The 22,275-nt window shown below is 49.2% G+C and overlaps 1 long non-coding RNA gene across 3 annotated transcripts in view, besides 5 other annotated features; it reads right to left on the reverse strand.

Annotated features, from left to right (window-relative positions):
- Window positions 9,586-10,204: an enhancer, noted in NCBI's record as "H3K27ac-H3K4me1 hESC enhancer chr20:46001472-46002090 (GRCh37/hg19 assembly coordinates)". NCBI's record gives its function as "activates a minimal SCP1, AML or CMV promoter by ChIP-STARR-seq in naive H9 embryonic stem cells {active_cell/tissue: H9 hESC(naive)}" and the evidence as "EXISTENCE:reporter gene assay evidence [ECO:0000049][PMID:30033119]".
- Window positions 12,807-13,308: an enhancer, noted in NCBI's record as "H3K27ac hESC enhancer chr20:46004693-46005194 (GRCh37/hg19 assembly coordinates)". NCBI's record gives its function as "activates a minimal SCP1, AML or CMV promoter by ChIP-STARR-seq in primed H9 embryonic stem cells {active_cell/tissue: H9 hESC(primed)}" and the evidence as "EXISTENCE:reporter gene assay evidence [ECO:0000049][PMID:30033119]".
- Window positions 13,309-13,808: an enhancer, noted in NCBI's record as "H3K27ac hESC enhancer chr20:46005195-46005694 (GRCh37/hg19 assembly coordinates)". NCBI's record gives its function as "activates a minimal SCP1, AML or CMV promoter by ChIP-STARR-seq in primed H9 embryonic stem cells {active_cell/tissue: H9 hESC(primed)}" and the evidence as "EXISTENCE:reporter gene assay evidence [ECO:0000049][PMID:30033119]".
- Window positions 15,449-15,949: an enhancer, noted in NCBI's record as "H3K27ac hESC enhancer chr20:46007335-46007835 (GRCh37/hg19 assembly coordinates)". NCBI's record gives its function as "activates a minimal SCP1, AML or CMV promoter by ChIP-STARR-seq in primed H9 embryonic stem cells {active_cell/tissue: H9 hESC(primed)}" and the evidence as "EXISTENCE:reporter gene assay evidence [ECO:0000049][PMID:30033119]".
- Window positions 19,624-22,275, reverse strand: part of LINC01754 (long intergenic non-protein coding RNA 1754) — a 29,379-nt gene continuing 26,727 nt past the window's right edge. For all 3 annotated transcript variants that reach the window (NR_146496.1, NR_146495.1, NR_146494.1), the window contains one exon: window positions 19,624-21,877. This is a non-coding gene — a long non-coding RNA (long intergenic non-protein coding RNA 1754). The remainder of the gene's footprint in view (window positions 21,878-22,275) is intronic.
- Window positions 20,253-21,105: an enhancer, noted in NCBI's record as "H3K27ac hESC enhancer chr20:46012139-46012991 (GRCh37/hg19 assembly coordinates)". NCBI's record gives its function as "activates a minimal SCP1, AML or CMV promoter by ChIP-STARR-seq in naive H9 embryonic stem cells {active_cell/tissue: H9 hESC(naive)}" and the evidence as "EXISTENCE:reporter gene assay evidence [ECO:0000049][PMID:30033119]".

Genomic DNA, 22,275 nt, shown 5'->3' on the forward strand with positions numbered 1-22,275 from the left:
ATCTCTACCAAAAGCTTGCAGCAACGCTGCACAGAGTCAGCACTCATTTAGTTGCTGTTACTATTTCCCTCTTGGCTTACTCTTATTTTTTTTTATTATTATTATTTTTTTTTTTTGGAGATAGAGTCTCACTGTGTCTCCCAGGCTGGAGTGCAGCGGCGCAACTTCAGCTCACTGCAACCTCCACCTCCTGCGTTCAAGAGATTCTCCTGCCTCAGTCTCCAGAGTAGCTGGGATTACAGGCGCGTGCCACCACGCCGGGCTAATTTTTGTATTTATAGTAGAGACGGGGTTTCACCATGTTGGCCAGGCTGGTCTCGAACTCCTGACTCAAGTGATCCACCTGCCTCAGCCTCCCAAAGTGCTGGGATTACAGGCGTCAGCCACTGTGCCCGGCCATCAGATACGATTTTAAACGCTTTACATGAACCAACCCATTTATCCTCAAAACTATAAAGCAGGCACCATTATACTTATCAACCCACTCCTATATGAGTAAACTGAGGTCAGGACTAACCATCCCATTCTTTTTTTTTTTTTTGAGACGGAGTCTCACCCTGTCTCCCAGGTTGGAGTGCAGTGGCATGATCTCGGCTCACTACAACCTCTGCCTCCCGGGTTCAAGCGATTCTCCTGCCTCAGCCTCCCGAGTAGCTGAGATTACAGGCATGAGCCACCATGCTTGGCTAATTTTGTATTTTTAGTAGAGATGGGGTTTCTCCATGTTGGTCAGGCTGGTCGCGAACTCCTGACCTCAGGTGATCCGCCCGCCTCGGCCTCCCAAAGTGCTGGGATTACAGGCATGAGCCATCGCAGCCGGATTTTTTTTTTTTTTTTTTGAGACGGAGTCTCGCTCTATTGCCCAGGCTGGAGTGCAGTGGCGCGATCTCGGCTCACTGCAAACTCCACCTCCTGGGTTCACGCCATTCTCCTGCCTCAGCCTCCCGAGTAGGTGGGACTACAGGCGCCCGCCACCACGCCCGGCTAATTTTTTGTATTTTTAGTAGAGACAGGGTTTCACTGTGTTAGTCAGAATGGTCTCGATCTCCTGAACTTGTGTTCCACCCGCCTCGGCCTCCGTAAGTGCTGGGATTACAGGCGTGAGCCACCGTGCCCCGTCCTGTTTCCCAGACTGCAGCGTGATGGCAAGATGACAGCTCACAGCAGCCTCAACCACCTTGGCTCAAGCAATCCTGCCACCTCAGCCTCCTGAGTGTCTGGGGTCACAAGTGTGTCCACCACACACAGCTAATTTTTTTTTTTTAATTTTTTACTAGTTTTTTTGTTTGTTTTTGAGACAGAGTCTTGCTCTGTCACCAGGCTGGAGTGTGGTGGCGAGATCTCAGCTCACTACAACCTCTGCTTCCCGGGTTCAAAAGATTCTCCTGCCTCAGCCTCCTGAGCTGGGATTACAGGCGCATGCCAACACGCCCAGCTAATTTTTGTATTTTTAGTAGAGACGGGATTTCACCATGTTGGCCAGGATGGTCTCGATTTCTTGACCTTGTGATCCTCCCGCCTCGGCCTCCCAAAGTGCTGGGATTATAGGCATGAGCCACCGCACCCAGACTTAATTTTTTATTTGTAAGAGACAGGGGTCAGGCTGGGCACGGTGGCTCATGCCTGTAATCCCAGCACTTTGGGAGGCCAAGACGGGCAGATCACCTGAGGTCGGGAGTTCGAGACCAGCCTGACCAACATGGAGAAACCCCGTCTCTACTAAAAATACAAAATTAGCCAGGCGTGGTGGCTCATGCCTGTAATCTCAGCTACTCAGGAGGCTGAGGCAGGAGAATCGCTTGAACCCGGGAGGCGGAGGTTGCTGTGAGCCAAGATCGTGTCATTGCACTCCAGCCTGGGCAACAAGAGTGAAACAACGTCTCAAAAAAAAAAAAAAAAAAAAGAGACAGGGGTCTTGCTCTGTGGTCTGGGCAGATCTCAAACTCCTGGGCTCAAATGCTCCTCCCACCTCAGCCTCCCAAAGTGCTGGAATTACAGATATGAGCCACAGTGCCTGCCGGTTTATCTGCTTTAGATAGTGTGGGCAGGAAGTGGGGAGACCCTTTAAGGAGGCTGTGACATTGGAGCGAAGAACATAGAACCTTCCTGGTGGAGGGAACAGGAAGTATGAAGGCTCTAAGTTGGTCTGAGCTTGGCAGTTTGATGTTTCAGCGGAACAAAAAAAGGCCAGGTATGGCTACACCAAATAAGGTGCAAAGAGGCTGGGTCCCATGGCTCAATCCTGTAATCCCAGTGCTTTGGGAGGCTGAGGTGAGCAGATTGCTTGAGCCCAGGAGTTCGAGACCAGCCTGGGCAACAAAGCAAGACCATGTCTCTACAAAAAATAGAAGAAATTAGCCAGGCGTGCTAGTGCACACTTGTAGTCCTAGCTACTCGACAGGATGAGGTAGGAAGATCACTTGAGTCAAGGAACTCAAGGCTACAGTGAGTGGTGATCATATCACTGCACTCCAGCCTGGGCAGCAGGGTGAGATTCTGTCTCAAAAAATAAAATAAAGTGGCCGGGCGCAGTGGCTCACGCCTGTAATCCTAGCACTTTGGGAGGCCGAGGCGGGTGGGTCACGAGGTCAGGAGTTCAAGACCCGCCTGACCAATGTGGAGAAACCCCATCTCTACTAAAAATACAAAATTAGCCGGGCGTGGTGGTGCATGCCTGTAATCCCAGCTACTCAGGAAGGCTGAGGCAGGAGAATCGCTTGAATCCAGGAGGCAGAGGTTGTGGTAAGTCGAGATCATGCCACTGTACTCCAGCCTGGGCAACAAGAGTGAAACTCAGTCGAAAAAATAAAAAATAAAAATAATAAATAAATAAAAATACAAATACAAAAAATTAGCACACGCCTGTAGTCCCAGCTACTCGGGAGGCTGAGGCAGGAGAATCTCTTGAACCCGGGAGGCAGGGGTTGCAGTGAGCCAAGATCGCGCCAATGCACTCCAGCCTGGGCGACAGAGCGAGATTCTGTCTCAAAATAAATAAATAATAAAATAAAATAATAATAATAATAATAATAAGATGCAGAGGACCAGGCCAGGCATGGTGGCTCACATCTGTAATCCCAGCACTTTAGGAGGCGAGGCTGAGGCAGGCAGATCACGTGAGGTCAGGAGTTAGAGAACAGCCTGGTGAACATGTTGAAACCCCGTCCCTACTAAAAATACAAAAATTGGCCAGGTGCGGTGGCTCACACCTGTAATCTCAGCACTTTGGGAGGCCGAGGTGGGTGGATCACGAGGTCAGGAGTTCGAGACCAGCCTGGCCAATATGGTGACTCCTCGTCTTTATTAAAAAATACACAAAATTAGCCAGGCATGCTGGCGCATGCCTGTAATCCCAACTACTCTGGAGGCTGAGGCAGGAGACTCACTTGAACCTGGGAGGAGGAGGTTGCAGTGAGCCGAGGTCACGCCATTGCAGTCCAGCCCAGGCAACAGTGCGAGTCTCCTTCTCAAAAAAAAAAAAAAATCAAAAATTAGCTGGGCGTGGTGGTGGGCACTTGTAATCTCAGCTACTCAGGAGGCTGAGGCAGGAGAATTGCTTGAGCCCAGGAGGCAGAGGTTGCAGTGAGCCGAGATCCCGCCATTGCACTCCTGCCTGGGCAACAGAGACTCCGTCTCAAAACAAAACAAAAAAAAGATCCAGAGGACCTAAGCATGGAGATAAGCTCAGAGACAAGGTCACCATTCCCTCCACCATCTTTCCATTACTAAGACTCAAAATATTCCACAATGTTCTTTACCTTCCCATCCCCACTCTCCTCTACATCTAATCCACACCATCCCTGAACCCACCCCAAAAGAGAGCCCTATAAAAGGGTAGCTAGACATGTACACTCAAGCTTAAGACAGACTGACTCTGCACTGTGTAGCTCCAGAACCCCAAATAATTTCTGTAACTCTCTACACCTGATCCTCCACATGTAAAATAGGAATACTACTCTCTATCTCATCGGGTTATACAGTAAATAGAGAAAATGAATTAATAGATATGAAAATACCTCCCACAGGTGGATCACCTGAAGTCAGGAGTTCGAGACCAGCCTGGCCAACATGGCGAAACCCTGTCTTTACTGAAAATACAAAAATTAGCCAGGCGTGGTGGTGGACGCCTGTAATCCCAGCTACTTGGGAGGCTGAGGCAGGAGAATCGCTTGAATCCAGGAGGCAAAGGTTGCAGTGAGCTGAGATCATGTGCTGCACTCCAGCCTGGGCGACAGAGCGAGACTCTGTCTCGAAACAAACAAACAAACAAAAATTAGCCGGGCGTGGTGGTGGACGCTTGTAATCCCAGCTACTTGGGAGGCTGAGGCAGGAGAATCGCTTGAACCTGGTAGGGGATGGAGGTTGCAGTGAGCCAAGATTGCACCACTTCACTCCAGATTGGGTGAAAGAGCGAGATTCTGTCTCAGAAAGAAAGGAAAAGAAAAGCCAGGCGTGGTGGCTCACGCCTATAATCCCAGCACCTTGAGAGGCCAAGGGGGACGGATCACTTGAGGTCAGGAGTTCGAGACCAGCCTGGCCAACATGGTGAAAACCCCATCATTACTAAAAATACAAAAATTAGCCAGGTGTGGTGGCACGCGCCTGTAGTCCCAGCTACTCTAGAGGCTGAGGCAGGAAGGCAGGAAAATCACTTGAACCCGGGAGGCAGAGGTTGCAGTGAGCCAAGATCATGCCACTTCACTCCAGCCTGCGTGACAGAGGGAGACTCCGTCTCAAAAAAAAAAAAAAGAAGAAATAAAATACAATAAGATAAAATAAAATAATGTATTTTGGCTGGGCACAGTGGCTCACACCTGTAATCACAGCATTTTGGGAGGCTGAGGCAGGTGGATCACCTGAGGTCAGGAGTTCGAGACCAGCCTGGCCAACACAGTGAAACCCCATCTCTACTAAAAATGCAAAAAATTAGCTGGACGTGGTGGCAGGTGCCTGTAACCCCAGCTACTCGGGAGGCTGAGGCAGGAAGGCAGGAGAAACCCTTGAATCCGGGAGGCGGAGGTTGCAGTGAGCCGAGATGGCACCACTGCACTCCAGCCTGGGTGACAGAGCGAGACTCCGTCTCAAAAAATAAAAACAAAAAAATTATGTGTTGTATTTGCTTTTCAGGGCAGCAATCTTGTCCTTTACAAGCACTTGATTCGACGGTTCATCTCCAGAGCCTAGAGTAGGTCCCACACAGGGGAGTCTGTTGATTTGAGTGAACGTCAATTCCTGGGGCTCAGTACAAATGCTTTAAAACAATTTGCTCAATACTGGGCACAATAGGCTTAATGTGGCCTTGCTAAGTTCCTGGAGTGACTTCTATGGGCTTTAGCCTCCTCCTGCTGCCACCACTGCCTCCATCGCCCTCCTCGTTGTCATGACGACATCTCCTCCTCCTCATCTTTACCTTGGAAGAGTGGCTTGCACTTATTGAGGTGCCATGTGCCAGGCACTGTTCCAAACACACTTTACGTATTAATTAATTTAACCCCTCCAACAACCCTATGAGGCAGGTACAAGGATAACCCCCATTTTACAGGTGAGAAACCTGAGGTGCAGAGAGATCAAGTAATTTACACATCTGAAAAAAGGAAAACATTCATAAGAAAAATGAAACCTCAGCCTACTTGGCCTCTAAAATTTCAAGAAGCTAAAACTATGGAGAAACCAACACTTACAGGTGATCAGGAACCAATTTACCAACAACAGCAGCAAAAAATAGACCAAACACAAACAGAAATTCCAGAGAGGGCAATTCAATCACAATTCATCTCGTGTTCTGAGGCCCCCCAAACCTCCCTGTGTTTTCCATCCACCTGGTCCCTCAAGTCCCAGATCTGGACATCACCCTTGACCACCGCTTCCCCATCTCCCATCCCAAGCCCTGTGGCTTCACCTTCTGAGCGCCTTCCACTGCCGACTGCGGCGGCGTAGCTCCATTCTGCACAGGTGCTTGGCTCCAGAGCCACCATTATCTGCTATCTGGGCTGGAAGGGAACAGCCTCCTCACCCCGACTCTGCTCCCATCCTCCACCCTCAGCTGCTGGAAGGATCTTTTGAAATTTCAATTTGGGCCAGATCACATCCCCATCCCCCAACCCCCACCTCTAAAACCCTTCACAGGTTTCCCATTGTTCTCAGGCCACAGTCTGAAATTCTTCAACGAGCCCTAGGGGGCCTGTAGGATTCCCTTCTCCAGCTTTTGCTCAGGGTCTGAGCTCCAGCCAGCTTCAAAGACTGAGTGAGTTTGCCTGGATTCAAATCTTGGCTCTGCCTTTCACTCACTGTGCCACCGCATGTAAGTAACTTAACCTCTCTGGGCCTCTAAAGTGGGGATAATAGCACCTCCTAGAGTGTTGTCAGGATTAAATTAATTCATGTAGTAAAAAGTGCTCACTTAGCACAGCATCTGGCACCCAGTTAGCTATTGCTATTGTTATTGCTGTCAGGTAACTCCTACTCATCCTTCAAAACCCAACACAAAATTCATTTCTTCAGGACAGCCTTCCCAGACTCATTTCCCAAAAAAAATCAGATCCTAGGCTGGGCATGGTGGCTCACGCCAGTAATCCCAGCACTTTAGGAGGCCGAGGTGTGTGATCACCTGAGGTCAGGAGTTCAGGACCAGCCTGGCCAACATGGTGAAACCCCGTCTCTACTAAAAAATACAAAAATTAGCCGGGTGTGGTGGCGGGCGCTTGTAATCCCAGCTACTCTGGAGGCTGAGACAGGAGAATTGCTTAAACCTGGGAGGCGGAGGTTGCAGTGAGCGAGATCATGCCACTGCACTCCAGCCTGGGCGACAAGAGCAAAACTCTGTCTCAAAAAAAAAAAATCAGATCCTCCAGTTATATGGTGTCCTCATAGTGCCCATGACAATCATAATTTAATACTTTATACATGTTTAATCACCAGGTACAAATTTTATTTTATTTTTTTTGAGACAGAGTCTTGCTCTGTCACCCAAGCTGGAGTTCAGTGGCCCGATCTTGGCTCACTGCAACCTCCATCCCAGGTTCAAGCGATTCTCCCACCTCAGCCTCCTGAGTAGCTGGGACTACTGGCACGAAACACCATACCCAACTAATTTTTGTATTTTTTGTAGAGACGGGGTTTCGCCACTTGCCCAGGCTGGTCTTGAAGTCCTGGGCTCAAGCAATCCGCCTGCCTTGAACTCTCAAAGTACTGGGATTACAGATGTGAGCCACCGTGCCGGGCAGGTATAAATTCCTATGATCGAGTTCTTACCTACTGTCTGTTTTGTTCAATTCTGTATCACTCTGGCACATAGTAGGTGCTCAAAAATAATTTGGTGAATATTGGACAAGAGAGTAGCTGAATGAATCAGCTGCAGAGGAGCCCAAATCCCCACTTTTCAAGTTAAATAATTAGAAAAATCGGCTTTTGGCCAGGCGTGGTGGCTCACACCTGTAATCCCAGCACTGTGGGAGGCCGAGGCAGGCGGATCACGAGGTCAGGAGATCGAGACCGTCTTGGCTAACACGGTGAAACCTCGTCTCTATTAAAAATACAAAAAAAATTAGCCGGGCGTGGTGGCGGGCACCTATAGTCCCAGCTACTCGGGAGGCTGAGGCAGGAGAATGGCATGAACCCGGGAGGCGGAGCTTGCAGTGAGCCAAGATTGCGCCACTGCACTCCAGCCTGGGTGACAGAGCGAGACTCTGTCTCAAAAAAAAAAAAAAAAGAAAAATCGGCTTTTAATGAGGATGCAGGAAAACTGAAGCCCACTGAGGGTAACTGGGTTACAAAAGGAAGCCGCAGTGATTCCAATGTAAAGCAAAACTGGGAGCGTGGCCCAGAGAGCTGCAGTGCAGGGGCTGGGTTAGCCTAAGAGCTGACTACTTGGTATTCACAGCAAGCAGCTCAAACAAAGAGAGAGGAGAGGGACGAATTCCATGGGGAGCTGAAGGCCAAAGGCCCGAAGCTGAAGGCAGAAGTGGTGGATTACCCTGGGGGCGGGAGGCTTCCAGCTGCAGAAATCGCCCAGATTCTAGGAATCCATCCCACCCGTGCCCCTGCTCACTGCTGTCTTACCTGAATTGCCTGCCCGCAACCCTTCGGCTCACCAGCCTCGGGAACAGTGACTCACTCCAATGCCTCTGGTCCCAGCTACAGCCCAGGCCTCCACCAGCCTGATGTCAGAACCTCTGTAGGGTGGCCAGGTCTAGCAAATACAAATACAGGATGCCCAGTTCAGTTTGAATTTCAGATAAACAAGGAATCTTTTTTTTAGTATAAGTACATCCTGTATCAGTCTGGCACCTCTACCTCTCTGGTCCCATCAAACTCTCCCCAGCAATGTCCTTTCACAGTTACCTTTCTGCTGCTCAGAGTCTTGAGCCTCCTTGGAAGATAAACTGGCCCCCTGTGACCTCTGGGTAAGGGAGAAACCAACGCCAGCCGAATAGGGTGGGGTAAGGACCTCCCCGCCACCACCAAAAAAAAAAAAAAAAATGCAGGCACAGTGGCTGAAGCCTGTAATCCCAGTGCTTTGGGAGGCTGACTTGGGAGGATCCTTGAGGCTAGGAGTTTGAGACCAGCCTGAGCAACACAGCACGATCTCTTCTCTACAAAAAATTTTAAAAATTAACTGGGCTTGGTGGTGCACACCTGTAGTCCCACCTACTCAGGAGGCAGAGGCAAGAGGATTACTTGAGCCCAGGAGTTCAAGGCTGCAGTAAGCTATGATCATGGCACTGCACTCCAGCCTGGGTGACAGAGCAAAACCGCATCTGAGAAAAAAAGGAAAAATAAATGACCTACCCAGTTCTTAGCACAGAATACATTCTCCATAAAAAGCAACTTCATACAGCCATCCTTTACTCTACGGTCACCTAGGGGCCTCTCACAAGTCCTTGTGAGATACATGGCATGGATGGTTGAACCCTTTTCACAGAGGAGAAAACTGGGGGCCTGCTAATTGGTGGAAGGGCCAAGAAGAAAAGTCCTGCTCTTTAGGATTCTGCTGCTAAAGCTCTGCTGGAGTCTGTCAGATGTGAATATGCAGGAAACTATAAGCCACATGAGAGCAGGTTAACTGTGGCTTCACCGATGGACTCCTGGATCCCAGCACAGTGCTCCAGCCCTTAGCAGCTGCTCCGGAAATAACTGCAGAGCAGCTGAGCGTGATGCCTCACGCCTGTAATCCCAGCACTTTGGGAGGCCGAGAGGGGCGGATCACTTGAGGTCAGGAGTTCGAGACCAGCCTGGCCTTCATGGCAAAACCTCATCGCCACTAAAAACACAAAAGTTAGTTAAGTGTGGTGGTGGGTGCCTGTAATCCCAGCTACTCAGGAGGCTGAGGCAGAAGAATCGCTTGAACCCGGGAGGTGGAGGTTGCAGTGAGCCGAGATCACACCACTGCACCCTAACCTGGGTGACAGAGTGAAACTCTGCCTCAAAAAAAGAAAGAAATAATTGCAGAGCGAATACAAATCCACCAGAGTCTCCACGACGACCTGATAATAGAGCACACACTTGTGGTCAGGCCCCTTCTCTCAATCTCTCTCTCTCTCTCTCTCTCTCTCTCTCTCTCTCTCTCTCTGTCTCTCCCCTGCACCCCTCTGCCCTGCCCCATGTTCTGGGTCTTGAGCCCAGGTCTGTCTTTCTGTGCTGTCTCCGTAGCCCCAACTACATGGCTACGTGGTGGGGAGAAGGAGAGGATGAAGCTTAAGGCAGATTTCTGGCTTTTCTCCCCAAATGAAGCAAAATAACAAATGTAGCTTCAAAAGGAAAGCAGCATGATCATGGAAATGTCAAAACAGCCACGTTCTTTTCTAGCCAGGCAGAAGAGACTTTATAGAACCTGACTCAACACAGTTGCATTCAGCATTCCTTAAACACCTAACATAAGCTCCCCTTTACTGGCAAATTGCCCTGAAACAATTAGGAGGTAAAGGAATTCCCAGAAGAAAAGGATTTTCTAGGGCCTTTGAAGAGATGTGTTGACTCTAACCCAAACAACCCTCTGAGAACATGGAGCCACTTGGTTAGCTCTCTTTGAGAGTTGTCCAACAGGTAAAGCAGGGGCATCCACCAGTATCTGTTTTTAATTGCTTCTGTCTTTACCCAAGGTCAGAAATGAACATTGGGATTTGACTGAGGAGTTACTTTCCATTTCTTACTTATGTTTTCTTTATTCAGTTATAGGGACAGGGTGGCCATGGGGATGGTGAGGGAAGTTTGGACTTTGAGACCATTTTGATCAGGGCCTTTACTCTTTATAAATGGGAAGTGACTTGCAGGCATTAATAGGCTCATCAGGTTCTCACCTTTGGTGCATCTCCCCCATGGTCAGTGCCAGCCTAGTCATGGATCTCGACCTGATCAGTGGACTTTTCTCCATAAACTTTCCCTAACACCTGGAGAGATACTTCAGCTGCAATGTCACCTCCTCAGAGAGGCCTTCCTTGATTGCATTATCTAGAGGAGATTCCCACCCAGCCCTGCCCAGCAGTCACCCTCTATGAGGTCACCTGTTGTATTGTCCTATGAGGACTCCTATCAACTATCACACGCTGTTGCTTTTTTATTATTATTATTATTATTATTATTATTATTATTATTATTATTATTTGAGGCAGAGTTTCACTCTTGTTTCCCAGGCTGCAGTGCGATGGCACAATCTCAGCTCACTGCAACCTCTGCCTCCTGGGTTCAAGCGATTCTCCTGCCTCAGCCACCCGAGTAGCTGGGATTACAGGCATGCACCACCACACCTGGCTAATTTTGTATTTTTAATAGAGACAGGGTTTCTCCGTGTTGGTCAGGCTGGTCTCAAACTCCCAGCCTCAGGTGATCCACCCGCCTCGGCTTCCCAAAGTGCTAGGATTACAGGCTTAAGCCACCACACCTGGCCTATTATTATTATTATTATTTTAAATTTATTTATTTTGAGACTGAGTTTCACTCTATCACCCAGGCTGGAGTGCAGTGGTGCAATCTCGGCTCCCTGCAACCTCCATCTCCCAGGTTCAACTAATTCTCCTGCCTCAGCCTCTGAGTAGCTGGGACTACAGGCACGTGCCACCATGTCTGGCTAATTTTTGTATTTTTTGTAGAGACGGGGTTTTGCCATGTTGGCCAGTCTGGTCTTGAACTCCTGACTTCAGGTGTTCCACCGGCCTCGGACTCCCAAAGTGCTGGGACTACAGGCATGAGCCACCGTGCCCAGTCTTATTTTTTTGAGACGGAATATCACTTTGTCACCCACACTGGTGTGCAGTGGCACGATGTCAGCTCGCTGCAACCTCCACCTCCCTGGATTCAAGAGGTTCTCCTGCCTGAGCCTCCTGAATAGCTGGGATTACAGACCTGTGGCACTGCACCTGGCTAATTTTTGTATTTTTAGTAGAGACAGGGTTTCCCCACGATAGCCCAGGCTGGTCTCGAACTCCTGGCCTCTAGTGATCTGCCCGCCTCAGCCTCTCAGAGTGCTGGGATTACAGGCACAAGCCACCACACCTGGCCTGTTGCTTTATTTTTGACTTGTTGGTCTCTTGGTCTCTGCAACCAAGATGACAGATGTCATCCGACTGTCAGCAGCATGACGACAGGGCCTTGTCTGGCTTCTTCACTGTGGATTCCCAGCCTCAAGAAGGCAACCAGGCCCATGTGTAGCCACTGAGTCAGAGCCTTTAACAAAAAGGATAAAGAAGAAGAAGAAGGCTGGGCGCGGTGGCTCACGCCTGTAATCCCAGCACTTTGGGAGGCCGAGGTGGGTGGATCACGAGATCAGGAGATCAAGACCATCCTGGCCAACATGGTGAAACCCTGTCTCTACTAAAAATACAAAAATTAGCCAGGTGTGGTGGCGCACGCCTGTAGTCCCAGCTACTCGGGAGGCTGAGGCAGGAGAATTGCTTGAACCCGGGAGAAGGAGGCTGCAGTGAACCAAGATCACTCCACTGCACTCCAGCCTGGCGACAGAGCGAGACTCTGTCTCAAAAAAAAAAAAAGAAAAAGAAGAAGAAGAAGAAGAAGAACAATAATAATAATGACTTACATTAAGTGTTTGCTAATTGAATCCTTACAGCACTGTGACATAGTAGGTACATTGATTTTGCCACTTTGCACTTGCTGTTCCCTTTGCCCGGAACACTCTTCCCAGGTGTTTGCAGGACTTTTCTCTCCATGCAGGTCTCTGCTCAAATATCACCAACTCAGAGAGGACTTTCCTAACCCCCTCCCTAAAGGAGTGCCAAGCATCACTCCCTAATCCCATATCCTGTGGTTAAGGATTTCACTGTGTCCCTTCTAAAAAGATATGTTAAAGTCTTAACCCCCAGTACCCAAGGATGTGACTTGATGTAGAAATGGGATTTTTTTTTTTTTTTTGAGACAGAGTCTCGCTCTGTTGCCCAGGCTGGAGTGCAGTGATACAATCTCGGCTCACTGCAACCTCCACCTCCCTGGTTCAAGCGATTCTCCTGCCTCAGCCTCCCAAGTAGCTGGGACTACAAGCATGTGCCACCACGCCCAGCTAATTTTTTGTATTTTTAATAGAGATGGGGTTTCACCGTGTTAGCCAGGATGGTCTTGATCTCCTGACCTCGTGATCCACCCACCTCAGCCTCCCAAAGTGCTGGGATTACAGGCGTGAGCCACCACGTCTGGCCTGAAATAGGATCTTTACAGAAGTAATCAAGTTAAAATGGGGTCATTAAGGTGGGCCCTAATCCAATATGACTGATGTCCTTATAAAATGAAGAAATCTGAGGCCAGGTACGGTGGTTCACACCTGTAATCCCACCACTTTGGGAGGCCAAAGCAGGTGGATCACCTGAGGATGACCTCTGGCCAACATGGCAAAACCCCATCTCTACTAAAAATACAAAAATTAGCCAGGTGTGGTGGTACACGCCTGTAATCCCAGCTATTTGGGAGGCTGAGGCACAAGAATCACTTGTACCTGGGAGGCAGAAGTTATAGTGAGCCGAGATCACACCACTGCACTCCAGCCTGGGCAACAGAGTGAGACTTCACCTCAAAAAAAAAAAAAAAAAAGAAATAGGATCTTTACAGAGGTAATCAAGTTAAAATGGGGCCATTAGGGTGGGCCCTAATCCAATATGACTGAAGTTCCTATAAAAAGAAGAAATCTGAGGCTGGGTGTGGTGGCTTACGCCTGTAATCGCAGCACTTGGGAGACTGAGGCGGGCGGATCACTTGAGCCCTGGAGTCTGAGATCAGCCTGGCCAACATGGTGAAACCCTGTCTCTACAAAAAATACAAAAATTAGCTGGGTGTGGTGGCGCACAGCTCTCAGGAGCTGAAGCAGGAGGATCACTTAAGCACAGGAGTCGAGGCTGCAATGAGCTGTGATGGTGTCATTGCATTCCAGCCTGGGTGACAGAGTAAGACCCTGCTGCCAAAAAAAAAAAAAAAGAAGAAGAAGAAATCTAGGCTAGGCACAGTGGCTCATGCCTGTAATCCCAGCACTTTGAGAGGCTGAGGTAGGAGGATCTCTCAAGCCCAGAAGTTCAAGACTAGCCTGGGCAACATAGCAGGACCCTGCCTGTTTGAAAAAATTTTTTTAAATTATCAGGGGTTGGTGGTGTGTGCCTCTAGTCCCAGTTACCTGGGAGGCTGAGGCAGGTGGACCACTTGAGCCAAGTTGAGGTTGCAGTCCAGCCTTGGTGACAGAGTGAGACCTTGTCTCAAAACAAAAAAGAAGAAATCTGGACCCGTGGCCGGGCATTGGTGGCTCATGCCTGTAATCCCAGCACTTTGGGAGACCAAGGCGGGCAGATCACCTGAGGCTGAGAGTTTGAGACCAGCCTGACCAATATGGCAAAACTCCATCTCTACTAAAAATACAAAAATTAGCCAGGTTGTGGTGGCACGTGCCTGTAATCCCAGCTACTTGGGAGGCTGAAGTAGGAGAATCGCTTGAACCCAGGAGACGGAGGTTGCACTGAGCCGAGATTGCACCACTGCACTCCAGCCTAGGTAAAAGAGCAAGACCCTATCTAAAATAAACAAACAAACAAACAAACAAATAAAAAAGAAAGGAAGGAAGGAAGGAAAGAAAAAAAAAGAAAAGAAATCCGGACACAGAGACAGACACAGACGGAAGATGATGTGAAGACAGAGGATTGGAGCAATGCATCTACAAGCCAAGACATGCCAGAAATTGCCAGCAACCACCTGAAGCTAATAGGAAGAGGTAAGGAGGACTGTCCCCTACAGGTTTCAGAGGAAGCATGTCCCTGCCCACACCTCGATTTGAGACTTGTAGCCTCCAGAACTGTGAGACAATATATTTCTGTAGTTTTAAGCCACCCAGTTGTGCTGCTTTGTTTTGGCAGTCCTAGCAAACGGACACACTTGCTTTATTTTTCTTTATTTAAAGCTCTGATAGCCACCTGCCACTGCACACATTTATTTGCCTGCTGACTCCCTGCACCCAGGATGGACTGCAGGTCTCTTGAGGCTGAGGTCTCATGTTCATATGTTCATGCATCTGTTACAAGGGCTGGCATTTACTCCTTCCTTCAGGAACTATTCATTTGAGTGCCTACTATGCCAGGCCCTGCCTTCTTTTTTTTTTTTTTTTTTTTTTGAGACAAAGTCTCACTTTGTCACCCAAGCTGGAGTGCAGTGGTGCAATTCTCATGCCTCAGCCTCCTGAGTAGCTGGGACTACAGGCATGTGCCACCACACCTGGCTAATTTTTTGTATTTTAGTGGAGACGGGATTTCACCATGTTGCCCAGGCTGATCTCAAACTCCTGACCTCAGGCAATCCACCCGCCTCGGCCTCCCAAAGTGCTGGGATTACAGACAGAGTGAGCCACCGCGCCCTGCCAAGCCTTGGCTTTTTGAAGTTTACATTCTAGTAAGAAGAAACAGGTAATAAACAATAAACAGATAATAAAAAACAACAATAAGTAAATAATAAACAATAAATAGGAACAATAAAATAGGTAGTGTGTTAAATGGTGATGAGTGCTATGGAAAAAAATATAGCAGCAAGGGAGATGGTGGGGGGTTGGGGTGGGCAACGGTGGTCATCAGTGTAGACAGAGGCCTCACCAAGGAGCTGACAGCTGAGCCTGAATAAGATCAAGGAGGAGGCGTGGGGGATTTTGGGGGACAGCAGTACAGGTTGAACAGGGGTTCCCAGCAAGAGCGATTTTGCCCTCCAGGGGACATTTGTCTGGAAATATTAGGGAGTTGCTCCTGGCACCTAGTGGGTAGAGGCCAGGGATTCTGCTAACCATCCTGCAATGCATGGAACAGCCCCATAACAAAGAATGGCCCAGCTGGCTGGGCACGGTGGCTCACGCCTGTAATCCCAGCACTTTGGGAGGCTGAGGCTGGTGGATCACGAGGTCAGGAGTTCGAGACCAGCCTGGCCAACATGGTGAAACCCTGTCTCTACTAAAAATACACAAATTAGCCAGGAATGGTGGCATGTGCCTGTAATCTCAGCTACTCAGGAGGCTGAGGCAGGAGAATTGCTTGAACCCAGGAGGTGGAGGTTGCAGTGAGCCAAGATTGTGCCACTGGACTCCAGCCTGGGCAACAGAGCAAGACTCTGTCTCAAAAAAAAAAAAAAAAAGAAGAAAAAGAAGAACGGCCCAGCCACAAATGTCCGCAGCAGTGAGGTTGAGAATCCTTAAGGGAGAGGGAAGAGGAAGCCCTCAGCCTCGGAGTGCCCTGCAGGGACCAGGTGTTGGAGGAATAGCCAAGGCGATCACTGCTCAGATGTTTTACTCTCTGGGAGGACACCGTGGTGGGGAAGGTTAGAGGGTACTGAGGAAACAGAAATATGTCGCAGGCCATTTTAAGAAGTTCAGTTTTTACTCTAAATAAGACCAGAAATCACTGGAGACTTTCTGCAGATAAGAGACACAGGCTGACAAGTTCCACAAACATCACTCTGGTCATGGGGTTGCAAATCGACTGAAGGGGGCCATGGCAGATGTAGGGAGACTAGTGGGGATGGTTGGAATGTTCCAGGCCTGCGATGCTGGTGGCTCAGAGCAGGGTGAAGGAGGACAGCAAGTCAGGATTCTGGACCTACTTGGGAAATCTAGTTGTCAGGGTTTGTGGAGTATGGGAGGGAGGAAGAGGAGGCATGGATGACTTCAAGATCTTTGTTGTTGTTGTGTTTGTTTGTTTGTTTGTTTTTGAGACAGGGTCTCGCTCTGTTGCCCAGGCTGGAGTGCAGTGGCGCGATCACAGCTCACTGCAACCTCCGCCTCCCGGTTTCCAGCAATTCCACTGCCTCAGCCTCCGGAGTAGCTGAGATTACAGGTGCACGCCACCACGCCTGGCTAATTTTTGTATTTTTAATGGAGATGGGATTTCACCATGTTGACCAGGCTGGTCTCAAACTCCTGACCTCAAGTGATCCACCTGCCTCCCAAAGTGTTGGGATTACAGACATGAGCCACCGCAACCGTGATTTGTTTTGTTTCCAGGCTGGAGTGCAGTTGGCGCCATCATGGTTCACTGCAGCCTCTACCTGAGCTCACGTGATCCTCCCATCTCAGTCTCCTGAGTAGCTAGGACCACAAGCCCACACCGCTATGCCCAGCTAATATTTTGAATTTTTTGTAGAGACAGGGTCTTGCTCTGTTTCCTAGGCTGGTCTCAAGCTCCTGGGCTCAAGTGATCCGCCCCCACCTTAGCCTTCCAAAGTGCTTAGACTTCAATATCTTCTGACCTGAGCTGCTGGGGGGCTGGAGTTGGTGCGGGCTGAGATGGGGACAGTAGTGGGAGGAACAGGCTGGGGGAGGATGAATGTGGGGGTGAGCTATTAGTCATCCAAGTGGAGATGTCACGGAGGCAGTCGGATGATGGAGTGCAGGGGAAGTTTGGGCTGGAAGTATAAATGTGGGAGGCATCAGCATCTAGACGGAATTTAAAGCCATGACGCATATGGGCTGAGATCACCTAGGACTGTGCGTGATGGGAAAGAATCGGGTCCAAGGGCCAGTCCCTGACACTCTCCACAGCTTGGACATTTGGCTGTGAGAATGAACCAACAAAGATGACAGCCGGGTGCGGTGGCTCATGCCTGTAATCCCAGTACTTTGGGAGGCCGAGGTGGGCAGATCACCTGAGGTCAGGAGTTCAAGACCAGCCTGGCCAACATGGCAAAACCCCATCTCTACTAAAAAATACAAAAATTAGCTGGGTGTGGTTGCAGGCACCTGTAATCCCAGCTACTCGGGAGGCTGAGGCAGGGAGAATTGCTTGAATCCGGGAGGTGGAGTTTGCAGTCAGCTGAGATCTCACCACTGCACTCCAGCGTGGGTGAAAGAGCCAGACTTTATTTCAAAAAATAAATAAAAGAAAAAGAAAATTGCTCCTTCAAGCCACGTAACAGGAGCAGAGAAGGAAAGGTGGGTCGAAGCCCAGCTTGGGCATTTTCCAGGTGTGACCTTGGACAAGTTCCGGCCTTCCCCAGTTACCCCATGACACTGCTGTCAAGGATAGAGGAGATCATGAAAAGTGAAGAGCCTCTCAGCTTTGTAAACTGTGAAGTGCCTTCTAAGGATCAGGGTGATTGCCAACTGAGCATTTCTATAACACCACCACTGAAATAAAAACTCAAGGTCGCACAGCTTCTGCTGACATCATTCAGCAGAGAACAGATGCAGAATTTCCAACCTTTCAAGAGCTGTGCACCCTGTTAGCTTGAGGGCCAAGACCTTACCACTTCCTGACCAAAACATAATGCATACAGCATATTAACCTGAAAAAAATTCTAGGAAATAGAAAAACATGCATGTAGTAAATAATTAAAATGGCATAGAAACGTATCCATGGGGCTGGGCGTGGTGGCTCACGCCTGTAATCCCAGCACTTTGGGAGGCTGAGGCGGGCGGATCATGAGGTCAGGAGTTCGAGACCTGCCTGGCTAACATGGTGAAACCCTGTCTCTACTAAAAATACAAAAAATTAGCCGGGCATGATGGCAGGCACCTGTAATCCCAGCTAATTGGGAGGCTGAGGCAGGAGGATCTTTTGAAGCTGGGAGGTGGAAGTTGCAGTGAGCTGAGATCAAGCCATTGCACTCCAGCCTGGGCTACAGAGCAAGACTCCGTCTTGAGGAAAAAAAAAAAAATTAGCCGGGCGTGGTGGTGGGCGCCTGTAATCCCAGCTACTTGTGAGGCTGAGGCAGGAGAATCACTTGAACCTGAGAGGCAGAGGTTGCTGTGAGCCGAGATCGCACCACTGCACTCCAGCCTGGGCGACAGAGCGAGACTCCGTCTCAAAAAAAAAAAAAAAGACTTTGCTCTGGTCAGGAGTGGTAGCTCATGCTGTAATCCCAGCACTTTGGGAGGCCAAGGTGGGAGGACCAATTGAGTCCAGGAGTTCAAGGCTACTAGTGAGCTATGATCATGCCACTCCACTGCACTCCAGCCCAGGCAACAGAATGAGACCCTCTCTCTAAAAGAAAAAAAAAAAAAAGCCAGGTGAGGTGGCTCACGCCTGTAATCCCAGCACTTTGGGAGGCTGAGGCGGGTGGATCACTTGAGGTCAGGAGTTCAAGACCAGCCTGGCCAACATGGTGAAATCCCGTCTCTACTAAAAATATAAAAATTAGCCGGGTGTGGTTGCCTGCGCCTGTAATCCCAGCTACTCAGGAGGCTGAGGCAGAATTGCTTGAACCTGGGAGGCGGAGGTTGCAGTGAGCTGAGATCATGTCACTGCACTCCAGCCTGGGCGACAGAGCAAGACTCCATCTCAAAAAAAAAAAAAAAAAATTTATAAAAGCACAGGGTCTTCCAGAAATTGTGGATTAATTGGTCTGGGGAGACGACCAAGCATTTGATTTTTGTTGTTTTTTTTTTTTGTTTCTTTGAGTTGTAGTCTCGCTCTGTCACCCAGGCTGGAATGCAATGGTGCGATCTGCGCTCACTGCAACCTCCGCCTCAAAGGTTCAAGCAATTCTCCTCCCTCAGCTTCCCAAGTAGCTAGGATTATAAGCACCTGCCACCATGTCCGGCTAATTTTATTGCATTTTTAGTAGAGACGGGGTTTCACCATGTTGGCCAGGCTGGTCACAAACTCCCAACCTCAAGTGATCCACCCGCCTCGGCCTCCCAAAATGCTGGGATTATAGGTGTGAGCCACCGCACCCAGGTTGATATAGTTTTTAAAGAGCCCCAGCTGATTCTAATGTGTAGCCACGGTTGAGCGCCACTGTTCTAGAAAACTACAAGTTTAAACTAGAACAAAAAGAGGCATTTTGGCCCGGCACAGTGGCAAACGCCTGTAATCCCAGCTACCTGGGAGGTTGAGGCAGAATCGCTTGAACCCGGGAGGAGGAGGTTGCAGTGAGCTGAGATGGCACAACTGCACTACAGCCTGGGCAACAGAGTGAGACTCCGTCTCAAAAAAAAAAAAAAAAGCAGGGGGAGGGGAGGCATTTTGGCATGTCCATCACTAATGGGATATACACGCACACCATATCCTGGGTTGTAGCTTTGCAGGCAGTAAATCTAATTTTTTAATTTTTTTCAATTTCAGCTCCACTCCTAACTAACTATGATTTAGGGCTGTAGGGAAGAAAAAGTACCTTTTCCTCACCCATCACAAGGTTCATGGCTAACACCCCTAAAGACAGATTAACAAGAGATAAGCATGACAAATTTATTTAACCCAAGTTTTGAGTGACTCAGGAGTCTTCCAAAGTGAAGAACCGTGACCCAGGGCACCTGTGTTTTTATGGACAGTCAAGCAGCAGTGTCACAGGAGGACAAAAGGGTTTGATCCAATGATGTACACAGTGGGAACTTAGCAAGGCCTGTGAGTTTAGTCTTCATGGTCTCCACGGACAGGACCGGACCCCCTCTGGAATGAGGGGCTTGGGGCCTACTTTCAGGAGAGGCAGGTCAGAGAAACCTTGAGTGGCCCACTGCAGAAGAGGAAGGCAGGAGAAGGTCAGAGAGTGACCTTCCTGCTTCTATGGTTTCCTCAAATTCCTTCAGCTTCAAATGCTCAGTTTGCCAAAGTGCTGTAATTTGGGGTATTGTGTTCCAAACCCCTACAGGAGAAGTCCCTACTGCTCTAAGCAGACTTGAGCAGGCATCAGAAGCACGTGGGCAGCTTGCTAAACACTGATTGAGGGACTCACCCCCACCAAGTTTCTCAGTTGAAAGATTTGAGAATCTGCATTTCTTGAAATTCTCAGGCCTTTTGATTAAGAAACTCTTTTTTTTTTTTTTTTTTTTTTTTGACAGAGTTTCACTCTTATTGCCTAGGCTGGAGTGCAATGGCATGATCTCGGCTCACTGCAACTTTAGCCTCCCTGGTTCAAGCGATTCTCCTGCCTCAGCCTCCTAAGTAGCTGAGATTACAGGGGCCCGCCACCACGCCCAGCTAATTTTTGTATTACAGGTGCCACCACGCCCAGCTAATTTTTGTATTTTTAGTAGAGACGGGGGTTTCACCACATTAGCCAGGTTAGTCTTGAACTCCTAACCTCAGGTGATCCATCCGCCTCGGCCTCCCAAAGTGCTGGGATTACAGGCGTGAGCCATCACACCCGGCAGATTAATAAATTCAATCAAGGACTTTGGGGGAAGTGGGGCTGAGAATTTGCATTTCTATCAAACGCCATCAGAATTTAGCAGGTGCTGCTGCTGATCCAGGGAACAGGCTTTGAGAACCAGGGCTCAGTTGATTACTAGTATAATTAACAACCTCTGATCCCATCACTGGCTCCCATTTCAGAGCAATGGTTGGTGCCTGCAAGCTTTCATCTCACTGTGTCCACACACAATCCCATGGGGTCCCAGTGTTCTTATGGATGAGGTTACCACGGCTGCAACATTCACAGTGAATTGTCCAGGGTCACGCAGCTGCAGCCAAAGTCTGGGGTGGAACACAGGTCTAATTACAAGCAGGAGAGAACCTGGGCAACACTTTCTTTGGGAGCATCAAAGCAAGCTCTCCCACCACCTGCTTGAGCACTTCCAAATCCTGCCGACATACCCAACCCTGCAACAGGCAAAGAGCCTCGCCTCCTGCTGGGAGAGCAGCTTCTTGCGGCGCGGCCTTCGCGAAACTCCGTGGAGAAATGGCGCCCCCTGGTGGCTCCAGAGAGAGCAGCGTTCCATTCTCCGGGCTGGGAGCTCTGGTCTCATGCGTCATGGACATTCTTGGACCCCATCACTAACATGGAAAATATTATTCAGTCCATTCCATCCTAGGAAAGAACTCAGGGTGCTGAAAGGAGGTGGGGACTTCAGAGCTCAGGAATGTAAAGGAAGGGCGGCGGACCGAGCCCTGGGGCTCTCAGGGGGCTGGAATGGTTAAAGCACAGCTGAGAACAATTCGGAGTTTCACCTTTGACCTTCCCAAAGACTTCTGCTGAGGAATTTTCTTTCTTTTTTTTTTTTTTTCTTTCAGACGGTGTTTCACTTTTGTCGCCAAGGCTGGAGTGCAATGTCGTGATCTCGGCTCACTGTAACCTCTGCCTCCCGGGTTCAAGTGATTCTCCTGCCTCAGCCTCCTGAGTTGCTGGGATTACAGGCGTGCACCAGCTAATTTTTGTATTTTTAGTGGAGACGGGGTTTCGCCACGTTTGGCCAGGCTGGTCTCAAACTCCTGACCTCAGGTGATCCACCCACCTTGGTCTCCTAAAGTGCTGGGATCACAGGTATGAGCCAGCGCGCCCGGCGGAGGAATTTTCAGTACTAAAGCTATAGTGTTGTGATGAGAGTCCGGCGTGCTCCCTGAATGCCGGTGCCCGATTCATAACCTAGTGCATTCGTTCACACATTATTCATTCAACAGATAAGCTTTTGCGTGCAGTACTATTCTGGGTGCTGGGACCACCGAAATCAGCAGAACAGACAGAATCTTTGCCTTCACGGATGCCTCCTGCCCTAGAACAGTGAATGAATGAATACATCAATAGGTAGAACACATGGAAAATAGATGACACTTAATAAAGAGATGTCATTGAGATGACACTTAAGCAAAACCCGGAGTGAGGAGAAAGAGCAGGTATCTGGTGAAGAAGTGTTCCAGGCAGAGAGAATGGTAAGAGCAAAGCCCCCGGGGCGTGGGTGTGTTTCTCTAACATGTTTGAGTTCTTTTTTTTTTTTTTTTGAGACGGAGTCTCCCGCTCTGTTGCCCTGGCTGGAGTGCAGTGGCGCCATCTTGGCTCACTGCAAGCTCCGCCTCCTGGGTTCACGCCATTCTCCTGCCTCAGCCTCCCGAGTAGCTGGTATTACAGGTGCCCGCCACCACGCCCGGCTAGTTTTTTGTATTTTTAGTAGAG

This window comes from Homo sapiens, chromosome 20 (genome assembly GCF_000001405.40).
Source record: "Homo sapiens chromosome 20, GRCh38.p14 Primary Assembly".
In the NCBI taxonomy this organism is placed as follows: Eukaryota; Metazoa; Chordata; class Mammalia; order Primates; family Hominidae; genus Homo; species Homo sapiens.